The 15,179-nt window shown below is 49.6% G+C and overlaps 2 protein-coding genes across 5 annotated transcripts in view, besides 3 other annotated features; both read right to left on the bottom strand.

The window, feature by feature from the left end:
- The window catches only part of HM13 (histocompatibility minor 13), a 55,102-nt gene that overhangs the window by 16,989 nt on the left and 22,934 nt on the right, over positions 1–15,179 (bottom strand). For 3 of the 4 annotated variants that reach the window (NM_178580.3, NM_178581.3, NM_030789.4), the window contains exons 3-7: positions 14,294–14,376; positions 7,520–7,608; positions 3,441–3,526; positions 3,223–3,348; positions 2,434–2,491 (exon numbers count right to left, since the gene is read on the bottom strand). In NM_178580.3, coding sequence (NP_848695.1) covers positions 2,434–2,491; positions 3,223–3,348; positions 3,441–3,526; positions 7,520–7,608; positions 14,294–14,376 — 442 coding nt within the window. Of the gene's footprint in view, positions 1–2,433; positions 2,492–3,222; positions 3,349–3,440; positions 3,527–7,519; positions 7,609–10,821; positions 14,377–15,179 lie in introns of those variants that run through there. The other variant, NM_178582.3, reaches the window with a different exon arrangement.
- Positions 1,718–2,217: an enhancer, noted in NCBI's record as "H3K4me1 hESC enhancer chr20:30138141-30138640 (GRCh37/hg19 assembly coordinates)". NCBI's record gives its function as "activates a minimal SCP1, AML or CMV promoter by ChIP-STARR-seq in naive H9 embryonic stem cells {active_cell/tissue: H9 hESC(naive)}" and the evidence as "EXISTENCE:reporter gene assay evidence [ECO:0000049][PMID:30033119]".
- Positions 2,218–2,719: an enhancer, noted in NCBI's record as "H3K4me1 hESC enhancer chr20:30137639-30138140 (GRCh37/hg19 assembly coordinates)". NCBI's record gives its function as "activates a minimal SCP1, AML or CMV promoter by ChIP-STARR-seq in naive H9 embryonic stem cells {active_cell/tissue: H9 hESC(naive)}" and the evidence as "EXISTENCE:reporter gene assay evidence [ECO:0000049][PMID:30033119]".
- Positions 4,222–5,421: an enhancer, noted in NCBI's record as "BRD4-independent group 4 enhancer chr20:30134937-30136136 (GRCh37/hg19 assembly coordinates)". NCBI's record gives its function as "activates an origin of replication core promoter dependent on BRD2, P300/CBP, MED14 and CDK7 cofactors, and independent of BRD4, by STARR-seq in HCT116 cells {active_cell/tissue: HCT116}" and the evidence as "EXISTENCE:reporter gene assay evidence [ECO:0000049][PMID:35650434]".
- MCTS2 (MCTS family member 2) lies at positions 4,474–5,176 on the bottom strand. Its single transcript, NM_001397496.1, has one exon. The coding sequence runs from the start codon at positions 5,049–5,051 to the stop codon at positions 4,506–4,508; it is 546 nt and encodes a 181-aa protein (NP_001384425.1). The 5' UTR covers positions 5,052–5,176; the 3' UTR covers positions 4,474–4,505.

Below are 15,179 nucleotides of genomic sequence, written 5' to 3'. Positions count from 1 at the left end.
CAGTAGAAGGCAGTGGGTCTTCTCCCTAGCCCAGAAAACCAGACCCTAAGTATCAGAAACCAAATATGACAGCACCACTTCCCTGCTCGGAGTCTTCCAGTGGCCTACGGGGCAGTGTCCAAGCTCCTTAGAGTGGCATCCTTGGCTTCCCAAATCTGGCCTCTGCCCACCTCTTTCCAGCCTCTTTTCCCTGAACTCAGCTATGCCCACTCCCTGATTCTCTGCTCCCAGGCCCCTCCATGCACCTTCCTGCCTCCAGCCCTTTGCTGAAGCTGTACATTATCTTTCAAATGCCCATATTGCCCCTGTATGCTTGGGAAATGTGTATTCATCCTTCATGACCCAGAAAAGATTTTCCTGACACCCTGGCTGGGTTCTCTGGGCTTACACACCCCCAGGCTCAACCATCAAGGCACTGGGGAATAGCTGTTGCTCTGGCTGGCCCAGCATCTGTTCCCTTGCTCTGGAGAAATGCCCTCCCCGTGTACACTTGGTTCTCGGGGGCTGCCAATTCCAATACTCTGCCCCCAGGCCCTGGAGAGGGCAGTGACCCTGGCCTGTCCATCACGATCCTCCATCTCTCCAGTGGGAGTGTCTGGCTCATGGGCCAGGCCAGGTCTTGTAGGTTTATTCAGGCCAAAGCTGGGAGAAACCTGTTTTCCTCTGGGGTCACTAAGCTGGGACCACAGAATTCAGGAGCTGTTTGTGGCCATGAAGCTCTCCTCAACGCAGGGAGAAAGGCTGTCCGCAGTGGTAGAGTGAGTCACGAGAAAGACAGCTGTTTCTTGATCCCCTGAGTGGAATCTCCCCCAGTCTCCCCCAACGACTGCCTGTCGCCACGAGCCAGTGCTTCCATGGCATGCACTCACTGTTGCCTGCCCTCCCGGCAGCATCTTCCTCTCTTCCTTGCTAGCATGCCTGACGGATTCTGTTCCCCTCTCTGAGCCTTGTAATACCAGCAGGTGATTCTCCACTAGTCTAAAGCTTAAACTCTAAGCCAATCATGTTTCCTATCCCCCTCACTGGTGAATGGTTTAGACTTGGGCCTGTGACACAGTTTTGGCCAATAAAGTATGAGGGAGACTGCACAGGAGACTTGGGAAAAACCATCCCTCCCTGAGACATAATTTCCCCTTTCTTTTTCTGGACACAGCTATGTGAGGAGTCAGTGCTGGGAGCTGTGGCAGCCATCTTGGGACCATGAAGGGATGACCTAAGGGGCAGGTGGACATGCTGAGAATGCTGGGGTGGGAGTCCTGAAGTAACCTTGGCTCTTGGTGAAGAGAGGGTCATTAACTCACTCTGAGCCTTCTACCCCTGGGCTTGCTGTAGTGTGAGATGACAAAATTTCCCCCTTGTTTAAAGACAGTTATACAGGTTGAGTATCCCATATCTGAAATGGTTCAACCAGAAATGTTTCAAACTTTGTTTGAATTCTGGAATATTTGCATATACATAATGAAATGTTTTGGGGATAAAACCTAAGTTTAAATATGAAATTCACATTATACATAATAGCTTGAAGGTAGTTTTATATATGTACACACACATATATATTTATACATATATAAATTTTAAAGACAGGGCCTCATTCTGTCATCCAGGCTGGAATGCAGGGACATGATCATAGCTCACTTCAGCCTGGAACTCCCAGGCTCAAGTGATCCTCCTGCTTCAGATCCTCCCAAGTAGCTAGGACTACAGATGTGTGTTACCACTCCTAGCTAATATTTTAATTTTTTGTAGAGATAGGGTCTTGCTGTTACCCAGGCTGGTCTTGAACTGCTGGCCTCAAGTGATCCTCCCGCCTCAGCCTCCTAAAGAGTTTTATACAATCTTAAAATGCTATTTCCTGCATGAAACACAGTTCACATGTGTTAAGTCCTTATGTGTGGAATTTTCCACTTGTGGTGTCATGTCAGTGCTCAAAAACTTTTGGGTCTTGGAACATTCTGGATTTCAGATTTTCGGATTAGAGATGCTCAACCTGTAGGTGGATTTTCTATTACTTATAAACAGTGGATACACTGAAGAACAAAACCAAGGCAGTTTGAGAGGCACGGGATAGACAGCACCCGACACTCAGGTGCCAAGGGGACCCCAGTGAGGGGTCTCGGCTTAGAGGTTTTCTCTCCTGGAAAGCCCCTGCGCGTGCCCCCCGGGCTGGGTTAAACACTTCCCCTCCATGCTCGCTCCCATTTTGGCTCATTTCACGCCATGCTGCACCACGACCAAGTGGCCAGGGGCCGGGACCTGGGCAGGATGAACACAGCCAGATGAATCAATTGAGGATAAGGAAACCAGGCTGGGGAGCCACAGGAGGAAGAGGTACATGGGGAAGAGATAGGGAGATGCACTGACTGAAACGGGCTGTGGGGGCATGGCCCGGCAGGGGTGGGGGAAGGGGTTCCCTGTGGCAGGGTGGTCACTTACATTTTATTGGTGCCTCGAAGGACTTGGCCACTGTCACCATCACATTGGTGCCAAATACCTAGAAGGAGAAAAAAAGAGCAGTATGAAGGGAAGTGAGGGGCTGTGGGGGGAAGAATGGCTGTCCCTGGGCTTCTAGATGTGCTGCTGCCTGGGATCTGAGGGGAGCTGGGAGGGGCTCCAGTGCAGATCTGAAGCTGAGGTGAGGTGGCCACTGATACTGGTTCTGGGCAACAAAGGGGAAATTCGAGGGAGTATAGAAAAGACCTCTGATGGCCCAAGCCAGGCAGCCTATGTTTGTTCACAGTTCTGTTCCTCCCAAGTGATAAAGTCCCCCAGCGCTACCCACTTGAGAGGGGAAGAGGCTGCCTGGGGCCAGGAAAAGGGTACCTGAGTCAGGCTGACGTCAGTCCCTCTGTGATGCCTCTCAGAGTGAATGTGAATGCCCTTGCTGGGCCCATTCATCAACATTCTTCCACCCCTACCTGAACTTCTTTGAGTCTCAACTCCCTTGCCAAGGAGACATGGGATTAGGTAACACCCCTGCTAGCAAGGAAGAGAGGCAGGTGGTCGGAAGGCACCGGGCATGAGTGTGCTCTCAGAAAGAGGTAGAATCTGCTCTCTCTGGCTCCATCTCACAGATGGGCCCAGAGAGGACTTGCTCTGCGGTCCGGAACTTCAGCCCAAAACAGCTCTTCTCCGTCAGATGACTGCAACTTGGGCCAGAGAGGCAGGGTGATGAGATGAGATGGCCCCGGAGCCAGACATCCTTGGCATCCCTGCCTGACTCACCCAGAAGACATCGTAGATGAAGAGTCCGCCCAGCAGGATGCAGCCAGTGCTGACATTGTTGAGGTGCAGGAGCTCTACTCCATTAAGGGAGAAGGCCAGGCCAAAAAGGTTGTTGGCAATCCAGTGCTGAGGAAAGCGGGGAGTGAGACCAGCTTGCTGTGACCCACCCTGCCCTGTCAACCCCATCCTCCCCTTCTGCCCAGGTCCTGACTACTCACCTTCCTCAGCAGGTACCAGACGCCAACGATGCTGCTCAGGCCCAGGCACACCAGGTCCTTGGTGTCAAATTCATAATTGATGATCTCTGAGCAGAGAGGCCAGGTAAGTCCACTCCCTGAGGCAGGGCTACCCCTCCCACCTGTCAGCCCCTGGACGGAGGAGGGCATGGCTGTGGGCACTGTGAGAGGTTCACAGGCTGGCGGGGCTAAGCCTTGGCTGCCCCAGATTAGTATGAGTTTCAGAAGGGGAGAGCTCACTGGAGCCACCCCAACCCCTCCAATTTCCTACAGGAGGGAATGGAGGCCCAGAGAGAGACTTACAAGCCTGGCACAGTGTCAGCGGGAAGTGGTCTTTGGTGTTAGAAGCACAGGCTTTGTTACTTGTAGCTGGGTGACCTTGGGGAAGGCAGTGCCCTCTCTGAGCTTCAGTTTTCTTATCTGTAAAAAGGGGATAACAGCACCCCTTCTTAGGGCTGCTGTGGGGGAATAAGTAAGACAGTCCTTACAATGCATTCAGCACAGTGCCTGGCACATAGTGGGTGCTCAGTCAGTGCCAGCTGCCTCTGAGCCCAGGTCTTTAGAAAGGTCGAGTTAATTCTGGAATCTTTCTACTTTGCCACCAAAGGATGAAGAAGGTTAGCGGCAGCCTCAGTTCACTAGCAGGCGATGAAGAAGGGAAGAGATGCAGGTCTCAAGGAAAGGCCGGAGTCCCCGAGGCTGCTTTTGTGGGGGGCCCTGTGGTAGACATCTTGATGTTAGACCATTCTCAATTGCTTCCAAGCTTCCTAAGAAGACAACTAGAGGCTGTGGAGTTTGCCGGGAGTCACAGAGTCCAGACACTCCTTTCACATTCCAGAGTGTTAGCAGACTGCTTGCTGCTTGTCCCCTAATTTGTTTTTTCATCTGTGGTAAGAGCACCCTGATTTGTTTTCTATAAAGTATCTGTTAAACTTATTTAGCATAACCACAGAGGCATTGTATTCACGCTGTCACACACAGACACAAACACACATACGACACAATCAATATCCACATTTAGCCCCCCAAATGCATTCCTTCTGAGGCTCATTTATATGTCTTCATGTGCCACAGCCCATCATTTAAATAATGGATATTTTCAATGCCAATTCCTTTGTTGACTTTCTCAATATCTTCTGCAGACATCTTCATGACCCCAACACACAGAGCATGCTGTTTTCCTTCCGCTGTGACTGCTACAATCGTATCTACTGCAGCAGGGTACAGCTTAGCTCCAGGAGAAGTTAAACCTGGACACATAATATTTGCGCCACTGAGTACAAATTTGATAGCTCCTTTATCAACCTGCTGGTGTGGCAGGATAAAAGGGTATTTGTGAAGCAACCTTAGAGTTGGACAAAAAGGCCCCTTTCTTTGTCTAAAAAACAATAATTCCCCACTTACGGTAAGGATTTCTGTATGTTCGTGGCATCGGACTATTTTGACAGGATCTTTCTTAGGCATGATTTGATTAAGCCATGGTTCAATACCTGGAAATTGCTCTACCAGTTGGCTCTTAATGCCCTTAATAACTGACGTTTTCAACTGGATGCAGTTGGACACACTTTCCTTTTCATCAAACTTCTTGAACATGATCCAGGGTGAAGCGGGCGACAACAGGGAAACAAACGGAATTGGCAAGGCTCCGGTGGAGTCCCCTGCAGGAAGGCCGGCGCGGGCGCCACGCGGCCTGCCAGACGGTCAGAGCCGTTGTCGCTAACCGGAAGATGACACAGCCAGCGCGCTTTACGGCCCGGTGAAATCTGACAACTTCCGCTCTCTGAACGCCACGTCACGACTGCGCTTGGCCCGCTGTTCCTTCGACTGCTGATTCCTCTCCAATGAGGATCGCTGAAACAGTAGGGCTTGACAAGCTAGAAATGATACGAATGCTTTCTCCTTGCCGGAACAGAAGACTGCAGATGCGCACCCTGATGAGTTAGTTCTAACTGGACACGAGACCGACTCACGGCCATTTTCCAGCTTCTCTTATAGCTAAATGGACAGGGAATATGGATGCCTCTCCTTCCTTCTGGCTGGACAGTGGAGTGATGACACTATCCTGACCCGAGGGCCAGTGCTGTATATGGCGGAGCATGAGATAGAGAGGGCCTGGGACCTTGAAGACTGTGGTATAAGCCTAGCCTTTTTACTGTTTTATTTATTTATTTTTTTAGACGGGGTCTTGCTCTGTCGCCCAGGCTGGAGTGCACTGACCGTGGCTTACTGCAGCCTCGAACTCCAGGGCTCAAGTGACCCTCCTGCATCAGCCTCCCAAAGTGTTGGGATTACAGGCATGAGCCACCGCGCCTGGCCAAGCTTAGTCTTTTTTTTTTTTTTTTGAGACAGGGTCTCACTCTGTCGCCCTGGCTGGAGTGCAGTGGCGCGATTTCGGCTCACTGCAACCTCCGCCTTCCCAGGTTAAAGCGATTCTCCTGCCTCAGCCTCCCGAGTAGCTAGGATTACAGGTACACGCCACCATGCCTGGCTAATTTTTTTTGTGTTTTTAGTAGAGACGGGGTTTCGCCGTGATGGCCAGGCTGGTCTGGAACTCCTGATCTCAAGTCATCCGCCTGCCTCAGCCTCCCAAAGTGCTGGGAGGCGTGAGCCATCTCACCTGGCCCAAGCTCAGTCTTTAAAAAAAAAAAATCAACAATTGTTTAACAGAGGTTCCTTAGAGATGCACAAAGCAATCACATAAAATTGCTGCCGATTAGGGACAAGGCAGCATGTGCTAGGCACCAGTAAGAGAGAGTGCTACGGCCGGGCGCGGTGGCTCACGCCTGTAATCCTAGCACTTTGGGAGGCGAATCAAGAGGTCAGGGGATGGAGACCATCCTAACACGGTGAAACCCCGTCTCTACTAAAAATACAAAAAAATTAGCCGGGCGTAGTGGCGGGCGCCTGTAGTCCCAGCTACTCGGGAGGCTGAGGCAGGAGAATGGCGTGAACCCAGGGGGTGGAGCTTGCAGTGAGCCAAGATTGTGCCGCTGCACTCCAGCCTGGGCGACAGAGCGAGACCCTGTCTCGAAAAAAAAAAAAAAAAAAAAAAGTGCTAGATTTCACATGCTCAGTATTGTATACAAGAGAAATACCTGCTGGGCGTGGTGGCTCACTCACGCCTGTAATTCTAGCGCTTTGGGAGGCTGAGGTGGGCAGATCACTTGAGGTCAGGAGTTTGAGACCAGCCTGGCTAGCATGGCAAAACTCCATCTCTACTAAAAATACAAAAAAATTAGCTGGGTGTGGTAGCACACGCCTGTAATCTCAATTACTCAGTTGGCTGAGGTTTCAGTGAGCTGAGATCGCACCACTGCACTCCACCCTGGGTGACAGAACAAGACTCTGTCTCAAAAAACAAAAAACAAAGAAATACCTGCTGTTTGGTCAAGCATTGATAATCTTGTTACAGCATTTGAATCCATACCCTAACTAACCTACAAATCCCAGGATCTCCACACTTCCCCATAGTTTGCATTTTTTTACAATTTTTTTGTAGAGATGAGGTCTCACTATGTTGCCTAGGCTGGTCTCAAATTCCTGGCCTCAAGTGATCATCCTGTCTTGGCCTCCCAAATTGCTGTGATTACAGGCATGAGACACTGTTTCTGGCCAGTTTTTATTTTTGAAAAAAGAGCTGTGGAACCCCCTTTTCAAACCTTAGGTGAGGCAGTGATCACACTAAAAATATATACGAATAAAATAATCATGAAGGCCGACTTTGAGTGCTTACTATGAGCCAGGCACCATGCTGAATGCTTTCCACTTATTGACTCGCCATCTTAACAACATGACTGTGAAGGAGGTACTAGATTAACACTTTCATTTTACAGATGGGAAAAAAAACAAAAACAAAAACACCCAATGCTCAGAGAGGTAAGGCGTTCACCCAGGGTCCCATGTCTAGACAATAGCAGAGTTGGAATGTGAATCCAGGCCATGGAATTCCAGAGCCCACTTCATCAGTTGCTCTATTGGAGAACCCCAATATTGGAGAGACAAAGGGAATGGTGGAGGAAGACACCCAAGGCACACTACAGGGGAAAGTGGTTAGCACTGACCTTCCTTGTTTTCCCCAGAACCCTGTGTGAAGAGCAGCTGGTACTGTCGATTTGGAAAGCTGGCTGGAAAAAACTTATTCATGAAGGGGCTGGAAGGAAAGACAAAGCAAGTCGGCAAACAGAGCCCCCATGGGCAGTCAGCCTTAACACACCCCTGCCCCATTTACAGCTGGCACCCTTACAGCTGTCCTGATAGGTAGGTGTTACTGTTCCCACTCTACAGATGTGAAAACAGAGGCCCTCAAAAGGTAAGTGATTTGCCCAGAGTCACACAGGGGTCCTATATCTCAGCTAAGACTCAAACCTAGGTTTTTGCACTCATAGTGATTTCTCTACTGCCTTTTTGTTAACATCAAAGAAATGCAAAGCAGAAGCAGATAGACTGAAGGCAAAATACCATTTTTGGGAGAGCAGAGGATCCCAAAGTCTGGCCCACATGCCACCTATATGAGTCCCTTGTCAAGAAGCATATTTGTGGACTCCCTTCCAAACCTATCAAGTTAGATGACCTGACAGTCACCCCCACCCCACTCCATGACTTGACATTCTGCTTTCCAACAGCAGGACTGAGATTTTTACAGACTCAGCTGGAATCAATCAGCCAGATGAATCATAGCCCCTGGGCAGGATCACCATCACATTCACTCCTTCCACAAGGCCTCAGTTGTTTAAGACCAGCTTGGCCTCGTCTCTAGAAGCATTCTCTCTGATTACCCAGCATGCCCCACCTCCCAGCCAGGAAGGAAGCAGAGACCTTTTCTGGACTTTTTTCAGAGCAAGATTAGCAAACCAAGGCCTCTTGACCCAGCCTGGTGGCAGTACTGTGGAGTGGCTACATGCCTGGGTGGCCCAGCACTGAGGCCTGCTCTGCCATGTGGCTGTGGGAGAGCCATTTCAGTGGCTCTGTCTCCCTGGACCTCAATCTTCTCATCTGTATACAGGGCTAACAATACCATCTGTCTCAGAGCATTGCTATGAAGATATGAAAGAAGGCAGGATGAATGCTTTGCCTGGCATGGAGTCTTTAGCAGGGATGAGGCAGGCCAGGAGGTACCCAGGTCACAGTGATAAAGGGAGGGAAAAGGGAACTCTTTTTTTTTTTGAGATGGAGTCTCACTCTGTCGCCCAGGCTGGAATGCAGTGGCGCGATCTCGGCTCACGGCAAGCTCCGCCTCCTGGGTTCATGCCATTCTCCTGCCTCAGCCTCCCGAGTAGCTGGGACTATAGGCACCCGCCACCATGCCCGACTAATTTTTTTTTGTATTTTTAGTAGAGAAGGGGTTTCACTGTGTTAGCCAGGATGGTCTCGATCTCCTGACCTCGTGATTCGCCCACCTCGGCCTCCCAAAATGCTGGGATTACAGGCGTAAGCCACCGCGCCCGGCCAAGGGAACTCTCTTTAAAGACCCTGGTGGCATGGAGCAAGATGTAGATTCAAGAACCCTCTCTGGCCAGGTGCAGTGGCTCACGCCTGTAATCCCAACATTTGGGAGGCTGAGGTGGCGGATCACTTGAGGTCAGGAGTTCGAGACCAGCCTGGCCAACATGGCAAAACCTCATCTCTACTTAAAAAAATACAAAAATTAGCCCGGCGTGGTGGCAGGTGCCTGTAATCCCAGCTACTCAGGAGCCTGAGGCAGGAGAATTGCTTGAACCCGGGGGGCAGAGGTTGCAGTGAGCTGAGATTGTGCCATTGCACTCCAGCCTGGGCGACACAGCGAGACTCCGTCTCTAAAAACAAAAACAAAAAACCATCTCTGGGCCTCTATTTCTCCACTTGTCAAAGAGCCGATCCCTCCTAGCCTGTAGGGCTGTGGTATGAATGATGGGAGGGCTTTGTGAAGAGAAGCGCAGCAGGTGCAAGGCCAGAATCGGAAATGGGCTCCCACAGCAGGGTTCTGAGGCGGTGGGAGGCAGAAGCTGGGTGGGTGACAGGAAGCTACTTTCAGATTAGTTTGCTGAATCAGTTTTGGGGGAGTCTGAAGCCAGGGTGTGAGTGCAGGTATGGATAAGAACTCTGCCCATCTTAGCCGGCCTCTTCCTTAGGAGCTTGGTGCTCAGCTTCTCAACCAGCAGAGTGTGACAGTTAAAGACATGGACTCCGGAGCCAGACTTCCTGGGCTCAAATCCTAACTCTGCCACTTATTAGTGGTCTGATCTTGGGAAACTTACTTAACTGCTCTGTGCAACTGTTCCTCATCTGGAATGCTACAACACCTTTCTTGTAGGGCTATTGAGAGGATTAAATGAGCACTTGGCACCCTATAAACTTAACTGCAGCTTCAACTTCAAGTAGCAAGTCTCTAGATTGATATCTTTGTTATTCCAAGAAAAGAGAGGCTGCTTAGCACTACACAGGGGAGGAGTCAAGCAACCTGGCTAGCGCGAGCCTGTGGACTTGAGAATAGAGGCCCCGTCTCATCATCTTCACCCTACCCTGGGGTGAAGATACCTGGTGCCTGCTAGACATCTGCTAAAATGCTTGCTGAATGACTCTGAATGCAGACTTTTGTAGCAGGCAGAGATTCTTCCTGGCCCTTGATGGCTCATGTCAAACGTAAAGGTCATTGCTTCCCACTGACAAGCCACATCCTGGTGCCCTTCTCCCCTGGGGGTGGAAGGCAGGGTCAGTGAAACTGGTGATGTGGCTTCCTCCTCTGGGGTGGCAGATCTGGTCCTTCTGGGCATTTTTTCCCTCTAAGGTCAGCTGGGTGGGGCACGAGCTCAGACACAGATGATGAAGTAAGCCGAGGTTCCCTTTGCAGGAAGGATGTCTTGGGTTTGAATCTTGGTGACTACACAAGGTAAGGCAGGCTGCGGCCCCTGCCTTCCTCCAATCCCCCAGGCTGGGGTTTGTTCCAAAGAGGCTTAATGTGGGCTAGGAAGTGGTGGTGGAGGTGGAGGGAATCCTGAGAACCTCAGCCTGTGCTGTCACAGCTCGGGTGCAGCTCTCTGCAGCCTTTCAGCAGGCCTCTCCTCTGCCAGTCCTTGGGAGACCACAGGCTCAATGGCAGGAGGTGGCCAGCCCACCCTCTTTAAGCTCCCCCCACTTCACTTTTGCCAAAACTGTAAAGAATAGGGGTTTTGGAGTCAGACAGACCTGAGCTCAAAACCTCACTTTGCCCTTACCAGCTGTGAATCCTGGTGGTTACATAACCCCTCTGAGCCCAATTTCCCTGTCTTAAACCTTTGGATCTGTTGTTTGGATCCTGAGGAAGGTCTAAGTTTGTGGATACAGGCAGCTGATCAAAATTCTAACAACACTGTAGACTTTCCTTGAGAAAATATTTAAGAAAACTCGATTTAATTGAAACATCCATTTAATTGGTAGACCAACTTTCTAAAAAGCATGATCAAATCATCCCCTACTTACTAAAATTATTTTCACTGGATTCAGTTCTTTTTCATGTTAATTTTACAATAATGATTTCCTTCATCTGACAGTTTTTGGTCCCCATCAAATTTTTTAGTGGACCAGCTTTAACCCCATATGGTAAGCATACCTTCTGCCTATGGCCATCCATTATTCTTTTTTTTTTTTTTTTATATTTTTCAGATGGGGTCTTACTCTGTTACCCAGGCTGGAGTGCAGTGGCATGATCACAGCTCACTGCAACCTCTCTGCCTCCCAGGTTCACGCGATCATCCCACCTCAGCCTACCGAGCAGTTGGGACCACAGGCACGCACCACCATACCCGGCTAATTTTTGTATTTTTTGTGGAGACAGGGTCTCAACATGTTGCCCAGGCTGGTCTTGAACTCCTGAGCTCAGGTGATCCAACAGCCTAGGGTTCCCAAAGTGCTGGGATGACAGGTGTGAACCACCATGCCCAGGTGATCCATTATTTTTAAAAGGTATGGTTTTCCCAGGTCAAATTTTGTTGCTCTAAATTTCATTAAGAAAATTATTCTTCTGTTAGTTTCTAGTCACTCATACATTTTACCATGTGCAGTTTTAGCTGCTGTTGGTTTTATTTTCTGTTGATAATATCTATCTCTAAAAATTATGAAGTGGCTAAAAGACAGATAGACAATTATTTCTTTTTTTTTTTTTTGAGATGGAGTCTCCCTCTGTCACCCAGGCTGGAGTGCAGTGGTGCGATCTTGACTCATTGCGACCTCCACCTCCTGGGTTCAAGTGATTCTCCTGCCTCAGCCTCCCGAGTAGCTGGGTGCGTCATCACACCCGGCTACTTTTTTGTATTTTTAGTAGACAAGGTTTCACCATGTTGCCCAGGCTGGTCTTGAACTCCTGACCTCAGGTGATCCACCTGCCTTGGCCTCACAAAGTGCTGCGATTACAGGTGTGAGCCACCGTGCCCACCCTCAATTATTTCTTGACATAGATTACTCATCTATGAGAAATTTGGGACAATGTCCCTTAGTTATTATTCTAAAAGGGAAAAAAAGTCTTTGGTGTCAAGATGATAAAGGTTCAAAATACCCTGCCTAGGCAGCTGGGTAGAGATAAGATCTTCATTGTAGGGTTGTTGCTATAACATTAAATAATCAGTTCCTCAGCACACAGCCTAACAGTGGCTTTCAAAACCCACTGGGCTCTCTGAGGTGGAGGCTGGGCTGTGGGGAGACTTGGGGGTCTCAAGCGTCTCACAGATGCTGGGGTAGGATGGGCTACAGTTGGGGAGGATCCTAATCAGCATGGGAAAGGAGGACACCCAATGTCTGCAAGTGACTGCCCCCACCCCACCCCAGGTCCACCACGAAAGGACTGGTTTGTCCTGTGAGCAAGGGCGACTGGGCCTGCCATTATCTTGGTTGGGTCCAAGTCACTCAGGTTCCCTGGGCCTCCATTTTTCAGGATGCGGGGCTGGACTAGAATTCTCCCAAGCTAGCTAGAATAGAATTTTGTGGGTGAAGAGTCAGTGCAGGTGAGGACAACAATGACCTCAGTGGGAAGACCAGAGGTGAAGTCTCAGCTGTGTAACCCTGGGCCAGCCACTAGGCTCACTGTGTGCTTGGCACTGTGCTCTAGGGATGTTACAGCCTGGGGCTCACTAGACCCTCCCCACACCTCTGAGGAGGTACCTGTAGTCTCTCCATTTTATAGGTAGAAGAACTATGCTCAGAGCTTGAGTAATTTACACATATTAGAGCTGGCAGCACCAGGTGTTTGTCCCAAGGCTGCCTGCCTCTTGACCCTGTGCTCCTGACTACCACACTGTCCTGCCAGTGTGCCTAGAAGAATGAAGCCACATTCATATTGGCTTTTTTTTTTTTTTTGAGATGGAGTCTCACTCTGTCGCCAGGCTGGAATGCAGTGGTGCAATCTCGGCTCACTGCAACCTCCGCCTCCCAGGTTCAATGATTCTCCTACCTCAGCCTCCTGAGTAGCTGGGACTACAGGCATGCACCACCATGCCCAGCTAATTTTTTTGTATTTTTAGTAGAGACGGGGTTTCACCATGTTGGCCAGGATGGTCTCAATCTCCTGACCTTGTGATCCGCCTGCCTTGGCCTCCCAAAGTGCTGGGATTACAGGCATGAGCCACCACCTGGCCTCATATTGGCTTTCAATGCTTTTGGGAGCAGATTCTGCCCATGCCCTCAATGTGCACAAACTTTCTAGCACCTGACCTCTCCCTCCTTTGTACGTCTTCCAGGTTTCCTACCCTTCAAAGAAAGCTAAGTTCAAGGTGAGTTCCTTCCTTCTGGGAACCCTGGCCACCTCTTGGTCTATCAGTGTTTCTCAGCCTGAGGCTGCACCTCTTCAACGGGGCAGAAAGAAACATACTGGGACATCTCTGTAGTCACAAGCTGGGGAATACTGGTATGCAACTCCCATTTGGTGAGCAGGGCAAGGTTGCCAACTGTTTGTAATACATGGGATAGTCCTGCAGAATGGAGAACTGGCCTGTCCAAAATAAAAGTAGCAACCCCCTCTAATGAACCACTCTCCCCACTGAAAGGACACGAGCATGTGGCAGTTTGAGTTAGGGTAGCAGTGGGAAGAGGATGGGCTCTGGAGCCACACCTGGGTTTGAATCCTGGCTCTGTTGCTTATTAGTGGTGTGATCCTAGCAAATTTCTTAACCTCTCTGGGCTTCAGTTTCCATGACTATCATACAGGTGTGAAAGCAAAAGCAACCCATATAAGGTTGTCTGGCAGGTTAACACAGATAATGACAGTAACAGCTAATAGTTACTGAACACTTTAAATCACCAGATACTGTGCTAAAAGCTTTCCACATGACCCCATGGGAAGGGCACTATTATTTTTCTCCACATTCACCAGGAAATTGAGGCCAGAGAGATTAAGTAACTTGCCCAAGATCACAGAGCTATTAAGTGGCAGAGTCTGGACTCAAAGTAAGGTAGTCAAATGCCAGAGCCCACGCTCCTAACTTTTCACTATGCTGCCTCTGGCTCCTTACGAAACACGATCATGTGTGAGGAGCCCAACATGGCACTTAGCACACAGCTAGGCCACAACACCCGGCAGGTGGTACTGGTGTTACTCACCTGAGTACTGTCACAACTAACATGACATTACTGCTCACAAATCACTTTCCCAACAGCTGTGGTGGTGGAAACACCCACCAGATCCTCATCATGTCTATAAGGAAACTGTGGCCCAGAGAGGTCATTGTTCTTGTCCTAGTCATCTACAGTGTGCAGGGGAAAGAGTCCCTTGAGTTTTATAGCCAGGATTCAAACCTGGCTCTGAATGATGCCAAAAGTCATGTTCTCATCCAAGACCCTGTACTGGTTCCCGAGAAAGCTGCTTCAAATGTTGCAGAGAGATGCCTTCTGACCTGATGGTGTGGGACAGGGCCAGGATTCCCAGCACGAAGAAATACATGGACAGCAGGAGGTTGATGTACTCCTGGGAGAATATCTGAGGCAGAAATACAAAGAGAAACAGGAAGTTAGGGTTGCCAGTGGCTGTGAGGAAACCAGAGTCCCTGCGTCTCTTCTGGAGGTTGGTCTCACCCTTCTTGAGTCGGGGGACAGTCAGGAAGAGTCTCAGACAATACTAGTGGCATTCTAGTTTCTGCAGCTGTGGGGGAAAGGTGAGAAACCTCAAGCCCCCAGCTGTACCTCGCAAAGGGGTTTGTAAGTTTACATTTAGTGGCTCCATTATCTGGAGGGAGGCAATTATGTTTGTGCTCAAAGTGCTGCACAGGGGTTCTGAAGGGATAAGGGAGTCTTCAGTATAGAGCCCCAGGAGAGCTGTTGGAACCTCAGAACTCGCTCTTCCACATTTCCTTCTCCCTGTTTAATCATCCAGGGATCCCCTACAGAGTGGCCACCCAGGCCGCAAGCATGCTAGTTACAAGACATCTGTCCCACTCCATTCTCCACATTCTGCTTTGTGATGACTCCTCCTGCAGTGATGGCTGAAGCTATGACAGCATCCCTGACAGCTGCTTCTTGGTCTTTTCGTCGTTAGGTGAAACTTGAGAAATATTCTGTCACAATGCTCCAGTCAATGGTCACATGTTAATTCTAGACTTTGGAAAGGCTATGCCATGGTACACCATGTTTGCTGCATCCCTGATGAATTTGTTACTATCGTGGTCTCTAACCTGGAGGGAATAAGGGAATAATGTGCTGTTGTGTGGGGTATAGGGAACCTGGCCACTCTCAAGCAGGGCTGTTTTGGAATCTGCTGAACATCTGTCAGATCATGTCACTCCC

This window comes from Homo sapiens, chromosome 20 (genome assembly GCF_000001405.40).
Source record: "Homo sapiens chromosome 20, GRCh38.p14 Primary Assembly".
In the NCBI taxonomy this organism is placed as follows: Eukaryota; Metazoa; Chordata; class Mammalia; order Primates; family Hominidae; genus Homo; species Homo sapiens.
Note: the sequence above shows the minus strand (reverse complement) of the source record. Positions and strands in the feature narration are given on the sequence as shown.